Consider the following 19,764-nt stretch of genomic DNA (forward strand, 5'->3'; position numbering starts at 1 on the left):
TTTATTCCTTCATCTTTTCTACTTTCAACCTTCTTTTCTGCCACTTCTCTTTATTTTCATTTGCAAAAGTTGCTGTAACAGGTTGTTACCCTCTCTGCACACAGCTTCCAATGTTACCAACCGGATTTTTGTATTTGCTGTTTTTCCTGACTGTTGAAGGGTTCTTACAGTTAGTAACTGGGTTCTTTTTAATACTCAAGCTTAATTGAACAGTTACATTTTGTTACTAAAAAGCCATGAATGCTAATGGAAACTACAGCTCACTCAAAGCATCAGTTTACTTTTACAGAAGTTGTTAAAAAACCAGCTCTGCTCCAAATTTGCTGAACACACCAGTTAACAGTGATGTAATTTTGGAGAACTGAATATTCTAAATACATTTTAAAACCTTGGTTTAAAAGCTAATCAGTCATATTTACACCACCGTATCTGAAAGGAGAGAAAATGAGAACAGAAGTAACTTTATTTGAGAAACAGTGTGATTTCTTTGGACATTTAAACAAGTCTCAAGTGGGTTAATTACAGTTTGTTCTGATTTTAACTCCAGCAACAGGAATTTTCATGGCATTTAGATAAGTTATCAACTGGGCTAGGTAACAGATAAAAGATTGCATTTTCTTTTCCAACATTTGGGAGGTACACTTGTACAATAAGTGCAACAATTTGAAAAATCGGTCTAGACTTCAACGAATGAAAATTATGCTTGTTAACTGTAGTGTCTGGAGTCCGAGCTGGGGTGTCAGTCTTGCCTATCCCTGGGCCACCGTCAAACAAAGCTGCTAATTCTAAAGCTTTAAGTTTCAAATTGAGAAATATTGTTCTAATATGGCAACAATGGGGCTGTTGTCCTTTCAAGAGCTCTGCGATTACAGGCTCGTTTTATGCAAAACAAATGGCAGGTAATTGTGATTTAATTCTTTTCAAGTAAATTACAGTGAGTGCGTGACACAAAGCTGCTGCGGACCCTCCTTTCTCTGTCAATAGTTGAATTAATGATGGCAGGAGTAAAAACAGCAATTGTGCACAGCGACTCTCCCCGGGTCCCCCACCCCAGCCAAGAGGGAACCTGCCAATCAGGCTGCGCCACCACCAGGCTAGGAAGCCTAGGGTCGCCGATGTTCCAGGATGGAATGTTCTGGTGTCACCGTGCGGGGGGGTGGGGGGTGTCACAGAGCTGGGAACTCGCTCAGAGCCAGGGTCTCTGCTGGGGTCAGCGTCTGTACGCTAAAGCCAGGGCGCAAAGTGCGTGGGCACTGCGGACACTAGAGGCTTATGGCGCTGGAAATACAAGGCCGAGTTGCCGGCGCAAAGAGTTCCCCGGGCGGGTTGGTGATGCGGCGCGCTTTGATAACAGGTTAATCCGGCCAACATTCGCTCCGCGAGAGAGCCATCGGAGGGCTCCGGGAGACTGCGGCGCCACGGAGGGAGAGGCGGCGAGAGGCCCCTCTGCGAGCACCCTCTGGGCGCAGTGCGGTGGGCTATGCTCTGCGCAGCCCCGGGCGCGCCTGGGTTCTCAGAGCCCAAGACCTGAGCCGCTCCGAGCGCAGGGCGCCAGTTCTCTTTCAGAAGCGGGAGAAGTTCAGGTGGGACAGGAGACACGGGGGTGAGGAGATCTTTGAGAGGGCCGGCCGGGAAAGTGGGGGTCGCCTGTGGCTGAGAGGGCCGCATGCCGAAGGTCCCGACCCCAGGCTCACGACAGGCAGCCTGGCACGCAGGAAGGGGCTTTGGGATAGAACGTAGCACCTGGCTGAGTGCTTAACAACGATTGAACTGACCTCTGAAGGACTGTGGGCCCTGACCACTTCCCCTTGTACTTGGAACAAAATCCAAACTCCTTCCTGAGGCCCATGGGAAATATGTTCTCGGGCTTTTGCCGGGGCGTCTGCTCTAAAGTGCTCTGGATTTGAAATGCCAGGATGGAATCCTGCCTGCCCTGTCCTTAAATGGTGACTTGGAGCAGATTCCTTAACCTCTCTGGCCTCCCAGCTGTAAATGGAGTTAACGGAACCCCACCTTCAAGGGCCCTTATGAGACTTCATGAGCTACTAATAGAGTGCTTAGAATGCGGCCTGGCACAAAGTACAGTGCCCAGTAAATATTAGCAGGGGTCACTCCACCTTAGCCATGTCCATCTTCTTCATTTTCCTGGACCTCCCTAACCGTGACCCTGCCACAGGACTTTTGCACTTGCAGGCAGAGCTCTTGCCCTGCCCGTCATGGCTTCTACTTCCGGCCTCAGCTCATCCTTTCTGGATGAGAGGATGAGACCATCAACCATCCCACCCTTCACTTTCATAAAGCTCTTTGTTTTCTTCCTAATATTTATCTTGATCTGAATGTTTGTTGCCATTTGCTTAGCGTTTATTGTCTGTCTTCTTCTCCCCAAAATGTAAGTTCCATGAGAATGGGGACCTTGTGTTTTTGTTCTCTGCAGGTGCCCAACACCTTGATCAGTGCCTGCTTTGTAGTAGGCATTCAAATACTGTGGACTGGATGAATGGAGTCACTTCCCTTCCAACCTGCACACCAACGTGGTTGAACTGCCTCCTTTCTAAGTGCCAAAGTCTGTTTTACAAGGCTGTAAGTGAAATCACTGACATGGAAATTATATTTTCAAAATTAAAGGAACAATTTTCTAAAGAAATCTAGGTTCTCAAGAAGGATGCCAGACAACTGGAGACTTTTCTCTATGTCAGCATCTTTCTACCCTGACAAGTTCTGACTGTGGGCTGGAGCCAGCTTCTGTGAACTCTCTCCACAGCTCCCTCTTCCTGAGGATGGGGCTTGAGGGATGGTACAGGGGCCTTTGGGATTCCTCTTCAGGTGAGGGCTGTGCTGGCTGTGGCACAGCTGGGCCCTAGGAACCCTCTAGACCTCCACCCACAGTGTAGCAATGCCTGCTTTATCTGCCCTTCGATGCGCCCTTCCCACTCCAGTGACTGCGTCATGTGGCACTGGCCTTTGTCCTTAACCTCCTTGGTCAGAGCTTTTCTGTTCCTTTGACTGCCCCTCTGTGGCTTGGCGTTAGTCACAGATTCACACCTGCTTTTTCTTCTCCCCAGAGCCAGCTGCTTTAGACTGGCTCCTGCTAGGCTTGCCAGGCGGAATGAGGGAGTCTGAGGGGCTGGGTGGGGCTGAGATGACTCAACTGGCCAGGGTCATTGTGTCTCAGTGCCCCGGCTGGAGCCAGGGGCGGAGTATTTCCAAAACTGGCCTGCCTCCTGTCTCATGCTATTTATTTACTCAGTGAGATCATTATAAACAATGAGTATCTGGGCCACAGTGACCATCCTTGGTGGCAATTCCCATCCCAGGGTCCTATCTTTGGGATAGAATTTGGAGAGGATCTCTTGCTATCCAGAGAACAAGAAATATAAATACTCAACTCATTCATGTATCCAAAAGCAGCTGCTTAGCACCATTGGGCACAGTGGTGGGTGCTGGGGACACAGATACAATAATAGCTAACACTTGTTTAGCACTTCCCATGTGCCAGGAACTGTTCTAGGTGCTTCATGTGTGTTACATGACTTCATACAATACTCACGAATAGGTTCTTTTATTGTCCCCTTCTTATAGGAGGAAACTGAGGCTCAACACAGAAACAGATCACATGGCCAGGAGGTTGCAGGATCTGGGCTTGGAACCAGGACCTACACTCCTAACCATTATGCTGCACTGCCCCTCTGTTTCAGTCCCCAAAAGGGATAGGACACAGCCTCAGCCCTCTTGGGGCACAAAGCCACAGAAGCAAACAGAGAAGGTGGGTGGGAGGGGGTAGCTCCCTGCATAGGAGATCAGTAGCGACATATTACGGCTCTTACTACATACCAGGCCCTGTTCTAACTGGTTGACACATACTGTTAGCTGTTGAAATCTTCGCAGCAACCCTAGGTGGTGGGGAGTAACATCACCCCCATTTTATAGGTGAGGCAGATCCTGCTGCTTGCCCATGATCGCGGGGCTAGAAACTGGCAGAGCTGGGACTTGAACTCGGAGACCCTTTGCTCCAGGGTCCCTGCTGTTACCCTCATCCTGCATGAGGCCTCTGTCGGAGAGTCATGGTGCCCAAGTGCTGATGTGCAGGCAGCCCAGAGGGTGCTGAGTCTCTGATTGCTCAGGTGTTACGAAAAACACCCTGTGCTTAGAGTTCGAAGACCTGGCTTAGAGCCCCAGAGCTGCTGCTTCCTAACTGAAACCCTTGGGGAATCTCCATTTCCTTGTTTGTAAACGGGGGTAATGAGGTCAGCTCTACCTGCCCCCCAGGGCCACCGTGAATGAGGATTAAAGAAGATAATATACAGGGAAGCGCTCTGTGAAGTGCAAACTGCTGACCTCAGAAACACTCAGTTCCATGGCTCTGGTCCATGCTGGGCCCACCTCAAAGTTCATGCCCTCTAGTTCAGGATGCATGGCCCATGGAAAATGAAGAAGTGATTTTAAAAAATTGCAAAACGGCTATAAAAATAAGACAGTGAGATGTCTCATTTGATGATGCAGATTATTAGAGAATTAAATCTGTTACTTTAAAAAAAAATCTTTTTCTAGAAGGATTGGATTCAAAGGCACCTGGGTCAACACTTGCAGATGCCTGCAGGCCAGGCCTGGTGCTGGTGCTTTATGTGGTCAACCCCAGTGGGCCTTCTGCAGCCCTGGGAGTCGAGACTGAAATTGCATCCATTTTATGGGCCAAGACATTGAAAGGTGAAAGAACTGGAGCTAATGAACAGAGGAGCTGGTCTCTGAACCAAGTGCAGCTGACTCCAATCCCCGCAGCTTTGTTGCAGCTCTGCAGAATCCTCACACCAGCTTGGGGAGAAGGCTGCCTTTCTCTTCTGCTTCAGAACTTTCCGCTTTAGCTGCACATATATCTTGAGTGACTCCTCCCCACAACCTCAGCACTTTCATGTTTTTCAGCCCTTCTTATTGTTTTTTTTTGTTTTGTTTTTTTAATATTTTTAGTTTTTGAGAGTCTTGCTCTGATGCCCAGGCTGGAGTGCAGGGGTGTGATCTCAGCTCACTGCAACCTCCATCTCCCAGGTTCAAATGATTATTGTGCCTCAGCCTCCTGAGTAGCTGGGATTACAGGTGCGCATCACCACACCTGGCTGGTTTTTGTATTTTTGTAGAGATGGGGTTTCACCATGTTGGACAGGTTGGTCTTGAACTCCTGGCTTCAGGTGATCTGCTCGCCTTGGCACCCCAAAGTACTGGGATTGTAGGCATGAGCCACCGTGCCCAGCCCAGCCCTCCCTATTCTTAGGGCATCTACCACCCACATAATACCCCTGTTGAGTGTCTGGCGGCCAATTCCACAACCTGTCCACCTACCCAGCAGCTCGCTGCTTTTGTGTTAAAGGCTTGTGGTCAACACCCTGGACTTGAGCAAGGTGCAAGGCAAGGGAACACGCTCCGTCCCAGGTGCTCGCTGTGGGCCTGGACCTCCCCCAGTGTGAGCAACACCTTGGAGGGCCAGGATGCATGTGTTCGAGAGGCGGTGTAGCCTTGGGTTTCTCTCCACATTCACATCAGACCTGCCTCTGGCCCCAGGGGCTGAATTTATTTTGGCTTAAATGACAGGGTGGTCCGAAATAGTAAAAATACTCCCTTCATGAAGCCACTGGGTGAATCTAGTAAGGTTGTGAAGGGGATGTCAGCTGCCTCTGGGATTGTGGTGCCACTCTAAATGGGCTGCTGGGCCCTGGCATGGTGCTCAGGTTACCGGTGACTTTACCGGGATGCCAATATGCCCTTGGGAGGGTTCCTGCCTTTAGACCATGACTTCCAAGGAGGCCGATTTAGGCTGTATGATGGGGCATGAGGACGACGAAGGTATGTTCACTGCTTGCTTTGAACTCATGGGTGACCAAGAGCAACTCCATGCTGAATGAGTGCAAGAATGGGAATGAGGAGTCACTGGGGATGGAGGCCCCATTCCTTGCTTACTAGCTTGAGCAAATTATATTATTTCTCTATGCCTCAGTTTCCTCATCCATAAAGGTAAGGTCGTAACTGGATTGGGAGGAGTCAATTATGCAATATATAGAAAAGCATTTTGAATGGTGTTTGCCACAGAATAAGCAGGCAATAACTATTAGCTGACCCCAAAATATCAGCTTGACATTATCTTCTCTATGCACATTTGCCTTCCCATTCAAAATACGTAACACACAACAGTCACAAAGTGGAATGCCTTTTCAACTACATGTTGACAAGAGATGAGCCAGAAGTATATTCCTGGTTTCACCACTTACCACTGTGTGATCTCAGGTAGTGACCTAGTTTTCTGTGCTTCAGTTTCTTTATCTGTTAAATGGGTATAAAATTTAAAAAATCAATTACTGATAGGACTAAATAGTGTACATAAAGCAAATAATGCTTATCATTCTTCTTCATCTCCTTGCCCTTTTAACATTTTTCCCTGTCCAAGCCCTTTTGAAAGACTGATGTGTTCTCCAAGCCAGTTTTCTTTCCTTTCTGGGTGCACAGGAAGACATTTCCCAACCTCCTTTGGAGTCAGAGCCCCATGTGACTGAGTTCTGGCCAATGGAATGTGGGCAGGGATAATATATGCTGCTTTCAGGCCTGGCCCCTAAAATTTCTTGTAAGATCCTTCTTGCTTGTTTTCTCCTCCATCTGGCAACTGACTGTCAATGCTCAGCAGGACCTTGGGAACTATGTGTCGAAGATGCCAGAGCCCCTGCCAGGAAAACCCTGCCCTTCATTGCCTGTTCCCTGCAGGCCTGCTTGGACTGGGACACTTTGTATGAAACCATTGAGACACACAGGGTATTTGTTATTGCAGCTAGCAGTAAGCCTGTCCTGACAACAATGAATTTTATAGAACTTGTATCTAGTGTACACACCTACTTACATTCATTCAAGATTTTGCATGTATTTTAGTCTTCTTGGTTCCAGCCCTCTTAGGCCCTTACTGCCTTAAAAAGCAAGACTCAGCAGTTGTTATTGATGGTAGTGAGACAATTCCTGAGAGCAGCTTCCTGGCTTCAGGGTCTCCCTGCAACAGAGAGGTTCTGAAGACAGCCCCTTACCTAAGGAATTTTAGTGACAGCTGGCCTTTCAGGGCACAGGTCTCCTACAAAGGCACCGCTAATCACATTGACACTCTCCTTTGTGCCGCAGTTGCCAAAGTGCTTGCTCTCAGCCTCATGGCACACCCAATACATTTGATGGATCACAGGTTAGAGGATCAGGCAGACTGCAGCTCCTCCCAACTGAGCCCTTGAGACTCTGCTCCGGAGCCCCCTCCTCCCCATCCAGCCCTGCCCTGGTTCTGCCTTGGGTGAGATGGGCTCTCTCAGTGCTGCCTCCCCGTTCAATCCCACACTCCCCAGAGGCTGAAGCTGTGCTGTTATCATTCCCCTTGACTGCTGCAGGGTTGGGGTGCACGGCAGACATCATTTGTTTTGCGCAGAGTTGTTGATTTCAGGCATCAGGGACAATTCTGATGGTCTTCTGGAAAAATTAAATTCCTCAGCTTGAGTGAGGTTTAAGTTAATAAAAGATAATGTAACATATCGAATGCCTGTTCTGTTCCCGTCCCTTCTCTTAGTTTGTTACCACCCCCTCAATCCTATAAGGTGAGTTTTAAATAGCCTATGTTGTAGGTGAGGAAGAGGAGGTGTGAAGATGCCAGGCCCAGGGTCCCAGAGCTGAGGAGGCAAACAGCTTGGGTCAATCCATTGGTCATAACGGCTAGCATTTCCTGGCCCTTAACGGTGTGCTGGGAGCAATGTATGTTAGGTGCTTTCAATGAGTTATTTCATTTCACTTTGATAATTTCCTTATGGAGTGGGGACTTCTGTTACCACCATTTTGCAGGTGAGAAAAACAAGTTTTTGTAGGTCAGGAGATGTGGAGCCTAGATTCAAATTCAAAATCCTCTGCCTTTAGAGCTTGCACTTTCACTCCCTTGGCACCTGCAATGCCTACTCCTGCCACTTGGAAAGTGCATCAAGGACCAAGTAGGTGCTCCTCTGGGGCGGGAACTTTTGGGTGGGAGCCCTCCTGCAGTCAGGGTGAACCAGCACCTACTGTGTACAAACGCTGGCCCGCAGCCCTGTGACAATGTGCAGGATGCTCGACTGTCCCAAGCATTGGCATCCTGGTGGAGAGGGGGCTGTGTACCTCCATTTCCAGCCCAAATAAGTCAGTGCCATGGAAAGGAGGATACAGCTGTCCTCAAAGGAAAAAGAGGCCACAAGGGTAGGGGTGGAGATGGCTTCACCCAGAAAGTGGGATTGGGATGAGCCTTTTTTATTTGGATTTGAATCCCAGCTCTGTCACTTGTTAGTGGAATGACTTCGGGGAAGTTATCTAACCTCTGAGTCTCAGTTTTACCATCTATAAAATGGAGGTGATAAAAGTACCTACCTAATAGGATGAGCAGGAGGATTAAATGAGTGAATTAACAAGTAAAGTGTGTGAAACACAGTAAGCTATATTATATACTTCTTTACTCTTTCTAATTACCAAGGACTTGTAGAATTTTAACAGGTGAAAAGAGAGGCATTGTATTACTCCGTTTTTATGCTGCTGATAAAGACATACCTGAGAGTGGGAAGAAAAGGAGGTTTGACTTACAGTCCCACTTGGCTGGGGAGGTCTCATAATCATGGCAGAGGGCAAAAGGCACTTCTTACATGGTGGCAGCAAGACAGAATGAGGAAGAAGCAAAAACAGAAACCCCTGATAAACCCATGAGATCTCATGAGACTTATTCACTATCATGAGAATAGCATGGAAAACACTGGCCCCCATGATTCAGTTACCTCCCCTGGGTCCCTCGCACCACACTTGGGAATTCTGGGAGAGACAATTCAAGTTGAGATTTGGTGGGGACACAGCCAAACCATATCAGGCATAATGCACCAAGTGAATGCCACAAGCAATTCTTCAGAGTTGAGAAAGCACAGGTGTGTTTTGAGAATAGTGAGCATCTCTCTCTGGCTGGTTTTTATTGGGAACAATAGAAAATGAGGCTAGAAAGAGAGGTCGGGCCAGGTTGAAGAGTGTATACTTAACAGGCAATTGGGAACCAATGAAGGTTTTTGAGCAGGGGAGTGTCGTGGCCAGAGCTGAGTTTTAGAAAAATCCTTCTGACTGCAAAGCATAAGGCAGATTGGAATGGGAGTAGTGGGAGAAGCCCAGGAGAATCCCATTGTCATTGACCAGGGGAGAAGATAGTGGGACCTGGCAGGACAGGGAGAGCATGAGCTGGCACACATGGCAGAGGGAGGTCCCCTGAATCTTGGTGGTCTGTGTGCTGTGTGGGGCATGTGCTACCTATGCTATGTGCCTGGCCAAAGGCAGGCATGGCAGTGGTGCCCATCTCAGGTCCAAGTGAGCGACTGGGACCCACTGCAGGGCTTCCTCTTTGCAGGCCCAGGCCTGGAATGCAGTCCTTCTGGGCATGATGTCATCAATGGTAGCTTTGGGCCAAGAAAGAGACAAAGGTAGAGAAATAGGGGACCAGCTTCCATTTAGTCCTAAGAACTCAGGACACCTGGTATCCTCAGGGTGATAAAGCTCCCTGATGGCCCCCCCCCCCAAAAAAAAAACAGGTTCCAGAAGACTCGGATGGAAGGGAAAAGGAGGCAGACTGCTTTTGGGTTTTCATCTAGGTTTTTGAAAAGCAAAGCAGACAGGTGAAAGCCGCCTGTCTGAGGCGTGTTTTATCTTAACCTTTCCATGTAATCCTGAAAGCCCACCTAATCAATTGAAGATCATAAAATATTAGACTTAATGCTGCAAAGTGCTGCTTTTTAATTCACATAACAAGCTCCTAAATAATTCAAATAGCAAACAGACCCTGTAAGTCAATGGTGGGAGGCTGCTTGGATCAGCAGGAGAGTGTCAACACATGCCACATTTCCCAGATCGACTCCATTTCAAGATCCCTATTAAGTTAATTGCCGGTTTCTGACAGCAGAGAGCATGCTGGGAGCACAGCACGCTTTATTAGCCTCCGTGGCATCTGGAGGCCTCAGCCATTTTGCCCCTACTTGCAGGCCCTAGGAGCAGCGTGGAAAAAAGTAAATCAAATTATGAGACAATAAATGCTTTTGGCAACACATGGGCATCAGATTCATTGGCGAATCCAAAAGCCTTCGAGTGTCAATTGTTGTTCTGTTAAATTTTTTACAACAACATCATCTATATGCTGCAACAGCCTCACAGGATGTCAGGAAGCAGTTCCATCATTTGGCACTGCATGGCTGATGCAGGTGAACGTTAATGGAAGTGAGGGGTCCCACCTACTGATGGAACCACTGGGTGAAGACAGCCTCTAAATAGAATGGGGGTTGGGGAGAACCTTTAAAGAGGCCCTCAATGATCCCAGAGTCCATGTTGCACATTCAGATTTGTAAGCAGATCTGCCTGGGTTTGGAAACCCAATGGAGACATGCGCAGGCTTCCAGAGTGGTCAGAGAGGGCCAGGGAAAGGCAGAATGAAGGCAAGCTCCCCAGCCTTCAGTTGGGGAGATGTGCTCACTATGAGGGTCCCAAGCAGAGCAGGCATCAAGGCATTGTTTCCATGGCTACCTGCTCTCTACTTGGTGGTCCTGGTATACACTGAGTTCAGAGTGGAATGGAGGCATTGTGGCAGCTTGGAGATCTACTAGCAGGTGTATGCAGGCTCTGATCTGTCCAATATCAGCACCTTCTTTTTTTTTGTTGAGATGGAGTTTTGCTCTTGTTGCCCAGGCTGGAGTGCAATGGCGCAATCTCAGCTCACTGCAACCTCTGCCTCCCCGGTTCAAGTGATTCTCCTACCTCAGCCTCCTGAGTAGCTGGGATTACAGGCACCCGCCACCACGCCTGTCTAATTTTTTTGTATTTTTAGGAGAGATGGGGTTTCACCATGTTGGCCAGGCAAGTTTTGAACTCCTGACCTCAGGTGATCCACCCGCCTTGGCCTCCCAAAATGCTGGGATTACAGGTGTGAACCACTGCGTTCAGCCCAATATGCACCTTTGACACATGAGAAAATTCAGGCAAAGAGAGATTCTGTGACTGTCCCAGTGTCACACAGCCAGCCAGTGGCAGCTGGTTTTAGGACAAAACTATTCTGATACCTGGCCTAGCCATCTTCCCATATTTTGCCATTTTCTTTCAGGCCTCGAGATTATGGTACAGTGGTGACAACCTAGATAAAATCTGTCCTGGCTCAACCACTTGTTGTCTCTGTGTCCTTAATTTAAGGAAAAGATATATAACTTCACTGTCCCTCTACCTTATTGGCAAAATGAGGATGGCATTGCTTACCTGATGGATGCTTATGGAGAGGGTTAGATTAAATGACATGTATTAAATATCTAGTTCAGGACCTCAAGCATGGTAGCCAGGCACTCTGCCAAATTTCCTTCCCATCATCTGTGTGGGAGACTCTTAGAAGAGCAAATTTATTGTATTTCTAGATAACTCCGTTAGAAACCAATGGTCTCCCAATGTATTAGGTTTGCACATCTGAATTTTTACAGGAAATTTTCATGAAGTAAAACAAACTACTCTCTCAAGTCTCCTCTTGACCCAGTCCTTAGATTAAGCCTCAGTGTCTGCAGAAAGGATGCTTTGTTCTGGATCAGGCCCTTAATACAATCGGAATACAAGAGGAAAGAACATTGGAAAATGATTAGCAGATTTGAGGAGGCTGGGGCTAAAACTTCCAGCAGGTCAAAGCGAGAGCAGGCAGATTGACTGTTTTGATCCTGGTTCTCCAGGCTGCCTGTATGCATGGAATTGCTGCACTTTGATGCTGGAAGGAACCTCAGAAATGTAGTCTGGCATCCTCATTTCATGGGTGGGGAAACTGAGGCTCAGAAGGAGTAGGTGACTTGTCTGGGGTCAAAGAGCTAGTTAGTGCAAAGTCAGTGACAGGAGCTGAGTCTCCTCCCTCCCATTTCTGTCCTTTTTCCAGTTCTCAGACAGTTTGGAACAGACCTTCCTGGCAGAAGAGCTGATTCCACCTTCCCTGGAAGACACAGGGCAATGCCTAAGCATTGCTACCTTCTGCATTTACAGAGAGGACATGCCATTGCCCCAAGACCTCTCTCTGAAAATAATTTTGTCAATTCATAATGAATCTGTAATAATAACAGCTATCATTTTTAAGAACTGAATTCCAGGCATTTTACTTACATTATCCATGCAGCCCTTTGAGGTAGGTGTTACTATGATTCCCATTTTACAGAGGATAAAACTGAGGCTTAAGGGTTAAGAGGCTTTTGCCCAAAGCCACACAGCTTGTAAGAATCAGAGGTAGGACTCTGGTTTCATTTTGACTTATGCTCCTTTCCTGTGGCACCTATTTCTCTTAGATTTCAGGCTTTGGCTGGAAGGAATGGAGGTCTCTAGAAGGTGAAATAGGGAGAGATGGGTCACTTACCCTGAGGTTTAGCACCAGCCAAGATGCATAGGTACTAGGACCCTCATCCTGCACCAGGACATTCTGCCCCCTTCCTCCCCATGCCCCGCTGTGTCTCTTGCTGAGAATGGACTGGTAGCCAGGGACCCAGAGCTCCTCTTTGACACAACCACCAGCCTCGAGTAAATAAGTGTGTATATTAGGATCAGGCTAAGCTGCACATAACAGAAACTCCAGGAAACAGTGGCTTAAATGCAGACAGACTTCCCCTCTGCATTGAAGAAGTCCTGGGTAGGCTGGTGTGGTGGCTTCGCAATCATCTGGGCCCAGGCTGTGTCTCTCCTCTTGCACTGCCATTCCCAACATATGGCTTTTGTCCTCAGTATTTCAGGATGCCTGCTGCAGCTCCAGCCATTGTGTCTGCATTCCAGGCAATGGGAAGGAGGAAGAGGGTAAAGCAAAAAGGACTTTCTCCAGTTGTGTTTTCTCTGTTTCAAAGAACCTTCCCAGAAGTCCTTCCCTACTAGCTTCTCATGTTTCATTGGCCAGAACTTCATCGTGTGGCCACACCTGGCTGTAGAAGGGGCTGGGCAGTAGAGTCTTTGACTGGAAATATCACTGACTGTAGAACAGAGGAGCTCTCGATGGCGGAAGAATGGGAGATCGGATCCTGGAGGAGCAGCGAGCAGGCTCTGCAATGCCAGATTCTGTGCCAGCTCTCTTACTTGCCAAAGTCTTGGTGATGGAGAATGGTGGTATTTTGAACCAGAGAAAACTCAGGTTTGATGAGTTTTGTAACACTCTGAGATCATTGGAAACAGCCTGCGATGCCACAGGCTTACGGTGCTTTCAGGGCCATCTGTTCTGGAGGTGGCAACAATGATGAAATCAATAGCAATTCATACTGTCAGCGGCTTTCACCCCAGAATGTCCCCTTTCAAAATATAGATAAATTTTACTTCTCTGAATTTATTTTCCTGTTCATGACACATTTATCCTGCGAGTCTTCTGAGGCTGACTGGAGGATGGATTTCCTGTTCTGAGCTGCTCTCTGATGATGATTAGTCTATAGACACAAACACAGACACCACTGAGCCAGCACCATCCATACACCAGCACTGTACCTGTGGCAAGGCATGTCACCCTCATAACAGTCTTGCAGGTTGAGGGATCATGATCCCATTTTACAAGTAAAAAGTGGAGGCTCAGAGAAGCTAAGTAACTTGCCCCAAATTGCACAGCTGATAAATTCCAGAGCTGGAGAGAATGCTTTCCAGCATACTGCACAACCCCTCAGTTCATTTACTGTCTTCACCCTCACCTCACATGGCTGACAATGGTCCCTTGTGACAACAGGGGCATTCCTGAGACCTCCAAGCATACACTTTCTTCTAAAGCCCTTTTCTTGCCTCCACCTCTTCCTTTCTTTTCCACTCTGGATCTTCCTCTAATCTTGGAAAGACCCCTGGAAAATTGTATCTTGAATGTAGCCTCATCCCCCGACTCCCTTGGCAGACTCAGGCCACCCATGCCTCCTTTCCAGGCCCTGCTGTGCCCATCTGGGCACCCAGTCCAGCCTCCCTTCCTGGGCGCCTTGACTCCCAACTGCAGATGAAGTGTCTGGAAATCATGGTACTCAAGGTAGGATCCACATTGCCTGCCGGCCTAGGACCAAGATCTGCAAGTCAGAACGAAACACCAGCTGTCCCTGTCTCCTGCACCCATCCCCATCCCGGTGAGTGAAGACACAGAACCGAGGACGAACCCGGAAAGCCCTCTTCTCACAGCCCCAAGAGGCAGGAAGAGAAGTGTGTGTGCAGCGGAGGCCCTGTGGCCCGGCAGCGTCTCTCGGGTTTTGAGATACATAATCTAAATATATACTTTGAAAATTGAAAAGTGCTCACATATAGAATGTGGCTGCGGGGAGAGGATGCTCTCTTTGAACATGTCTCTTTAAAGACAAAATTTGCAAAGTGTTTTCCTGCCCTTAAGGAGACACTTAAACATGGCAGAAGATGTAAAATGGAAATTGAAGTGTCTCTCCCAGGCCACCATACACGGATCAAACAGGCACGGTCTATTCTAAGCGTTCATTAATAGCTGGTCTCTGAGGGCCTGGGCAGCAGCCAGAGGATTTTACTCATTAAAAAGGTGGCAAGGTAGAGTTTTGTGCTTTCCCGGCTTGTCGCTGTGTAATCTTGGTGCTCAGACGTCGCCAGCAGGCCTCATATGAACGCCCCGAGATTGCTGGCATGGAGGACTTTTTTGCCGGGTTTGAAAGCGTCACCCCCTCATGGATGGGGCGAGAAGCCCTTGCTGTTTGTCAAGTAGATCTCTCTCTTCCTAGGCGGGCCCAGAACAGCATTATCTCAAGCTAAATGCAGAGAGAAAAGAGCTTTCACTTGTCAGCTAAGAAAAGATCGTCTGCGATTCCCAGCGCAGCTCTGTGGTCATCTCGACAGCCCAGCAAACCACACAGAGCCACCAGGCTAGGCTTTGCGGGGAGGCCTGGGGTCCACAGATGGCCCTGCCAGGGACCAGACTCTTGGAGGCTTTGGCATCTCCACAGTGCCCACTGGCACGGGGGCCGCTGGCTTATTTAGAAGGGAGTCTCTGGCCCCATTTTCTACCCCCACTTTTTGTTTGTTCTCTCTTTTGATTCTTTCAATGTCTAGCATCAGCATTTTGTGAGTGGGGTGACATTGTCTTGTCACCATAGATGCATTCACAGAGGCTGCAAGCAGTTTTCCCAGGCATCTTGAAGGCTGCCTCTTCACCCTCGAGCCTCCTGGTGGAGGCCAGGTGGAAGCCTCACTGGCCTCTAGGCTACGGTGCCTTTGTGTGCCCTGTTCATTCCTGCTCTGGACTTCTGCTATGGTTCTCCATGACTGCAGCCTCCCCCTCCTCTTCTCATGGCCAGCTCAGATGCCGCCTCTTCTGAGAGGTCTTTCCAGCTGCTCCCCTGCCGGCTGCTCACTGTTATCTTAGTTCAATTTGGAAAGATCTGGTTTATTGATTGTGATTGTGGTCTCACTACACTGCAAGATGAGGGCCGAGAGGGCATGGACTTTCTTCACCTTGTTACCCTGCTTCCCCAGTGGTTAGCATGATGCTTGGCCCCCAAAGGTGCTCCATTTTTTTTTAATTTTTAAATTTTTTATTAAAATAATTTTTGTTTTTGAGATGAAGTCTCGCTCTGTCGCCCAGGCTGGAGTGCAGTGGCTCGCGATCTCAGCTCACTGCAACCTCTGCCTCCCAGGTTCAAGCGATTCTCCTGCCTCGGCCTCCCGAGTAACTGGGATTACAGGCGCCCACCACCGTGCCTGGCTAATTTTTTGTGTTTTTAGTAGAGATGAGGTTTCACCATGTTGGTCAAACTGGCCTTGAACTCCTGACCTCAAACAATCCACCCGCGTCAGCCTCCCAAAGTGCTGGGGTTACAGGCGGGAGCCACCGTGCCCGGCCAGTGCTCCATTTATTGAATACCTAACAAAGGAATGAAGGAGGGGTTCTCCCATCCCAAAGCCCAGCTCTTAGCCACTCTACAAAGAGCAGCCCTTTGGGGATTTAAAAAATGTGTGAACTTTAGTCACTTCTGGGCTACAGTCCTCAGCTCCCCGGGTGCAGAAATGCTGTGCGCTGCCCTACAGAGCACATTAGGTCGGGGTCTCCACAAGGACACGGAGCCAAGACTAGGACAGGGAGGAGGCCCTGGCAGAGAGTTTCCTGTAGGGGATGTTTTCATGATACAATATCAACACTGTGTCAAGAAATGAGTTGATCTATTTTTACCCCTCATTAGCAGATATAAAATGTATTGTTTATGAAATGCTTGGCTGTCTAGATCAAACTAAATTGCAAAATAATTAAGTTCGATATTAATGAAATAATAAAATATGTTCAGGGTTGGAGGGGGTGGGGAGACAGGGTGAACATTCTGCAATTTTTTTTTTTTTTTTTTTAACGCAAGGGACACCTGGCTTGTCCCTGATAGGACTTGAGTTGGCCTGTAGAAATGCATCCTGTACATCCACAAATGTAAGGGAAATAAGGCAGGAAAATAAGTTCGAGTGAGGACTCACTGCACAACAGGTAGGCCACAGAAAGACTGGGAACTATGCATTTGGCTCTGAGTTTCTTAGAAGCCAAAGCAAAGAGAGAAAGAAAAACAGTTCTGAGGTTCTTAAGAGGTGCAAGGCCTGCAGCTTTGGAGGGAAGAACAACAGAGACGGAAAAATGGGGATAATCTTGATTCGGTTTTAAAAAGAACCTCAAATAACTCCTTAAAAGATCAAAGAATTATCAGGTATGGTCTTAAGGTGCCCATCCTGGTGCTGAAATGTACCTCTGCAGTTACTTAACACTGCCTGGCAGGTGTGCCATGATGCTCTGAAGACCTAGGGGCACCTGGCCTCAAAGTCCACCCAGGCCTCTGTCTGAAGACCCACCATGACTGTACCTCCTTCCTAGGGAGAGTGTATGATTATATCACTGGGTGAATGGAGGATCCAAGAGCAGGTTGTGATTAAGGTGTGATGGTGCAGAAGTCTGGGGCCCTGGGACTGGGTGAGGCTGGAGGGTGAGGGTTTGGGCCGAGACTGAGAACAAGCATGCACTAAATTCACAGGCATGGCACAGTGCCAGTTGGATGCTGTGGATGGCTGGTGGGATGGAGTGCCAATTGTGGCACTACTGCGCCATGTCCGGGATGTGAGCCTCGTCTCTCTGGTACACATTAGGCACCCAAAGTGTGACTGGGCCACAGAGTCCCTGGAATCTCCAGACTGTCCTGACAACAGGCTCAAAGTCTCCTTCTTCCCTGAGAGCACTGCATGTTCATCTTTGTTTTGTAAACAACTATATGACATTTGAAAAAAGTCCCTGAATGAGTGGAGGAATTAATGATTGAACGAGTAAATGCCATGATTATCACGGTCCAAATCCCATCCTTCCTTCACATCCCATTCAGGGTCACTTCCTTTAGGAAGCCCTCCCTGAATTCTTCTGCCCTTTCCTTCTCAGGACTCTCGCAGTGCTGGCTGTGCAATCAACATGTAAATACTTCCCTAGGTGCTAAGAATTGGTATGTCTTTCTCATGTTTTCTCTTGTTCCTCACTCCAACTGGACAACAGAGTCATTTCTTCAACAAACATGCATTCAGCTGTCACCATCTTCCCTGTACTATGTTAGACCCAAAGGATTCAAGAGCAAGCCAGACAGATGTGAAGCTTACAGTCCAGGGCAGGGGCTGGTGAACTGCTGCCCACAGGCTGAATGCAGCCTGACTCTTGATTTTTGTAAATAAAGTTTTATTGGAACACAGCCATGCCCATTTGTTCACGCATTGTGGCTAACTAGCATGGCAGAATTGAGTGAGTTGTCATGACAGAGATCATATGGCCTGTAAAGCCTACAATATTTCTAATCTAGCCCTTTACAGAAAAGTTTGTTGACCCCAGTCTAATGGGGAAGACAAGCTAGAAACAGATCATTACAGCAATGACATATGACTTGAGGGATAAGAACGAGGTGATAGGCAGGCCGGGCGCAGTGGCTTATGCCTGTAATCCCAGCACTTTGGGAGTCCGAGGTGGGCGGATCATAAGGTCAGGAGTTCAAAACCAGCCTGGCCAATATGGTGAAACCTCTTCTCTACTAAAAAATACAAAAATTAACCGGGCATGGTGGCGCATGCCTGTAGTCCCAGCTACTCGGGAGGTTGAGGCAGGAGAATCACTTGAACCTGGGAGGTGGAGGTTGCAGTGAGCTGAGATCAGGCCACTGCACTCGCACTGCAGTGTGGGTGACAGAGCAAGACTCCATCTCAAAAAAAAAAAAAAAGAAAGAAAAGAACGAGGTGATGAGGACAGCAGAGTGGGAACATGTGGGAACATGTGGTCAGGGAAAGCTGCTGTCAGGGAAATGTTATGTGAGCTGAGATATGACTAATGAGAAGGGCCCCATGTGCACATCTGCGGAAGAGCATTCATGGTGGAGGGAACAGCATGTGCAAAGGCCCCCTGGGGTGCCTGGTGACATGGAGAAAAGCTAGGTGTCCGGGAATGTGGTGAACAAGGGGAGTGTAGGACAGATCCAATGTCAGGGAGGTGGCAGGAGTCAGAGCAGGGGTTCCCAAGGGGAGCAGTATTGCCCTCTAACGTTTATTAGGATATTTCAGGGGCAGTAGCTTGGTGAGCAGGTGCCAGGGAGGATGCAAGGTTTCAAGCAGTACAGGTAACAGTCCCACACAACCGGGGACTGTCCTGGGTCCTGCCTGACTTCAGGATGTCTTGGTGGATATTCACATAGGTAAAAGGCCTATTAGTGAAAATCTGAGCCTGGACTTAACTCTCTTATTCATATAAACAGAAAGTGATTTTTTAGCATAGTTTCAATTATATGTGGAATTGTCTAGGAATGCAACTACTATGTAAATTAAGGCAAGATCACACTGTGTTTTGTTTAGAAGGCTCACAAGCAGTGTTGCCCATGTTGGGAAAATCAGGTCACCCATGGTAACATCACTCTTGGTATTTGAATCGCCAAAACAACATACATGTTGTCAGTCTGTATTTGGCATTCTCTATGGTTTTACACCCAAACACAGGTACCTGATTGCTTTCTGGTGCTCACTAGAGAATCATGTCAGAGGATTTACCCATTGAAATGCATGCTGTTTTGTGACAAATTACTTCTTTTTTGTTTGTATATTACATTATTTTGGTTTTTGTTTTAATTTATATTAAAATAATATATTTTAGTATAATATTAAAATATATATCTTGTATTATTTTGTTTTCATATTATAGTTAAGACATTATATTTATTAAGACATCTTGTGTGTAGATAAATTATACAATCTCTGAATTTTGTTTCAGGATATCAAAGGAGCATTACAAAATATTGTCTAACAGAAGTACCAGGGCTGGATCCCAAAGTTTTGTGTAGATCTTGATAAAGAGTTTGGATTTTATTCTAACAAGAGTGAAGAGCATGACAATGTTTGCAGAAGAGTGATGGCTTCTTTCAGGCAACAGTGACAATTACACCTCCTCTTTTTCTCTTTGATCCTCCACCCTCTCCCTCCAGCACCTGGTACAAAGCTGGGTACCCAGCAGACACTCTGTAAATTAAAGTGCTGCCAGCCTGAACAATCTCAGTGGAAGAGCTAAGTGGGTCCATTTCCTTGCTTTACAAATGAAGTCGCTGAGGCTCAGAGGGGTTAAGTTCTTTTCCTGAGCTAGGTAATATCTGGTTAAGTAAGATCTGATAAGTGTGTGTGTGTGTGTGTGTGTGTGTGTGTGTGTGTGTGTGTGTGTGTCTGTGTGCTTGGACAGGGGGTGCTTCCGCCTTTCACTGCCCCAATAGGAGTCAG

The 19,764-nt window shown here is 47.6% G+C and overlaps 1 long non-coding RNA gene across 1 annotated transcript; it reads left to right on the forward strand.

Annotated features, from left to right (window-relative positions):
* The first annotated feature begins 1,150 nt into the window (after window positions 1-1,150).
* LINC02674 (long intergenic non-protein coding RNA 2674) lies at window positions 1,151-19,554 on the forward strand. Its single transcript, NR_187475.1, has 3 exons — window positions 1,151-1,583; window positions 2,435-2,580; window positions 19,268-19,554. It is a non-coding gene; the product is annotated as a long intergenic non-protein coding RNA 2674 (long non-coding RNA).
* The last annotated feature ends 210 nt before the right edge of the window (window positions 19,555-19,764 follow it).

The sequence above is a fragment of the Homo sapiens genome, chromosome 10 (genome assembly GCF_000001405.40).
Source record: "Homo sapiens chromosome 10, GRCh38.p14 Primary Assembly".
Lineage (NCBI taxonomy): Eukaryota > Metazoa > Chordata > Mammalia > Primates > Hominidae > Homo > Homo sapiens.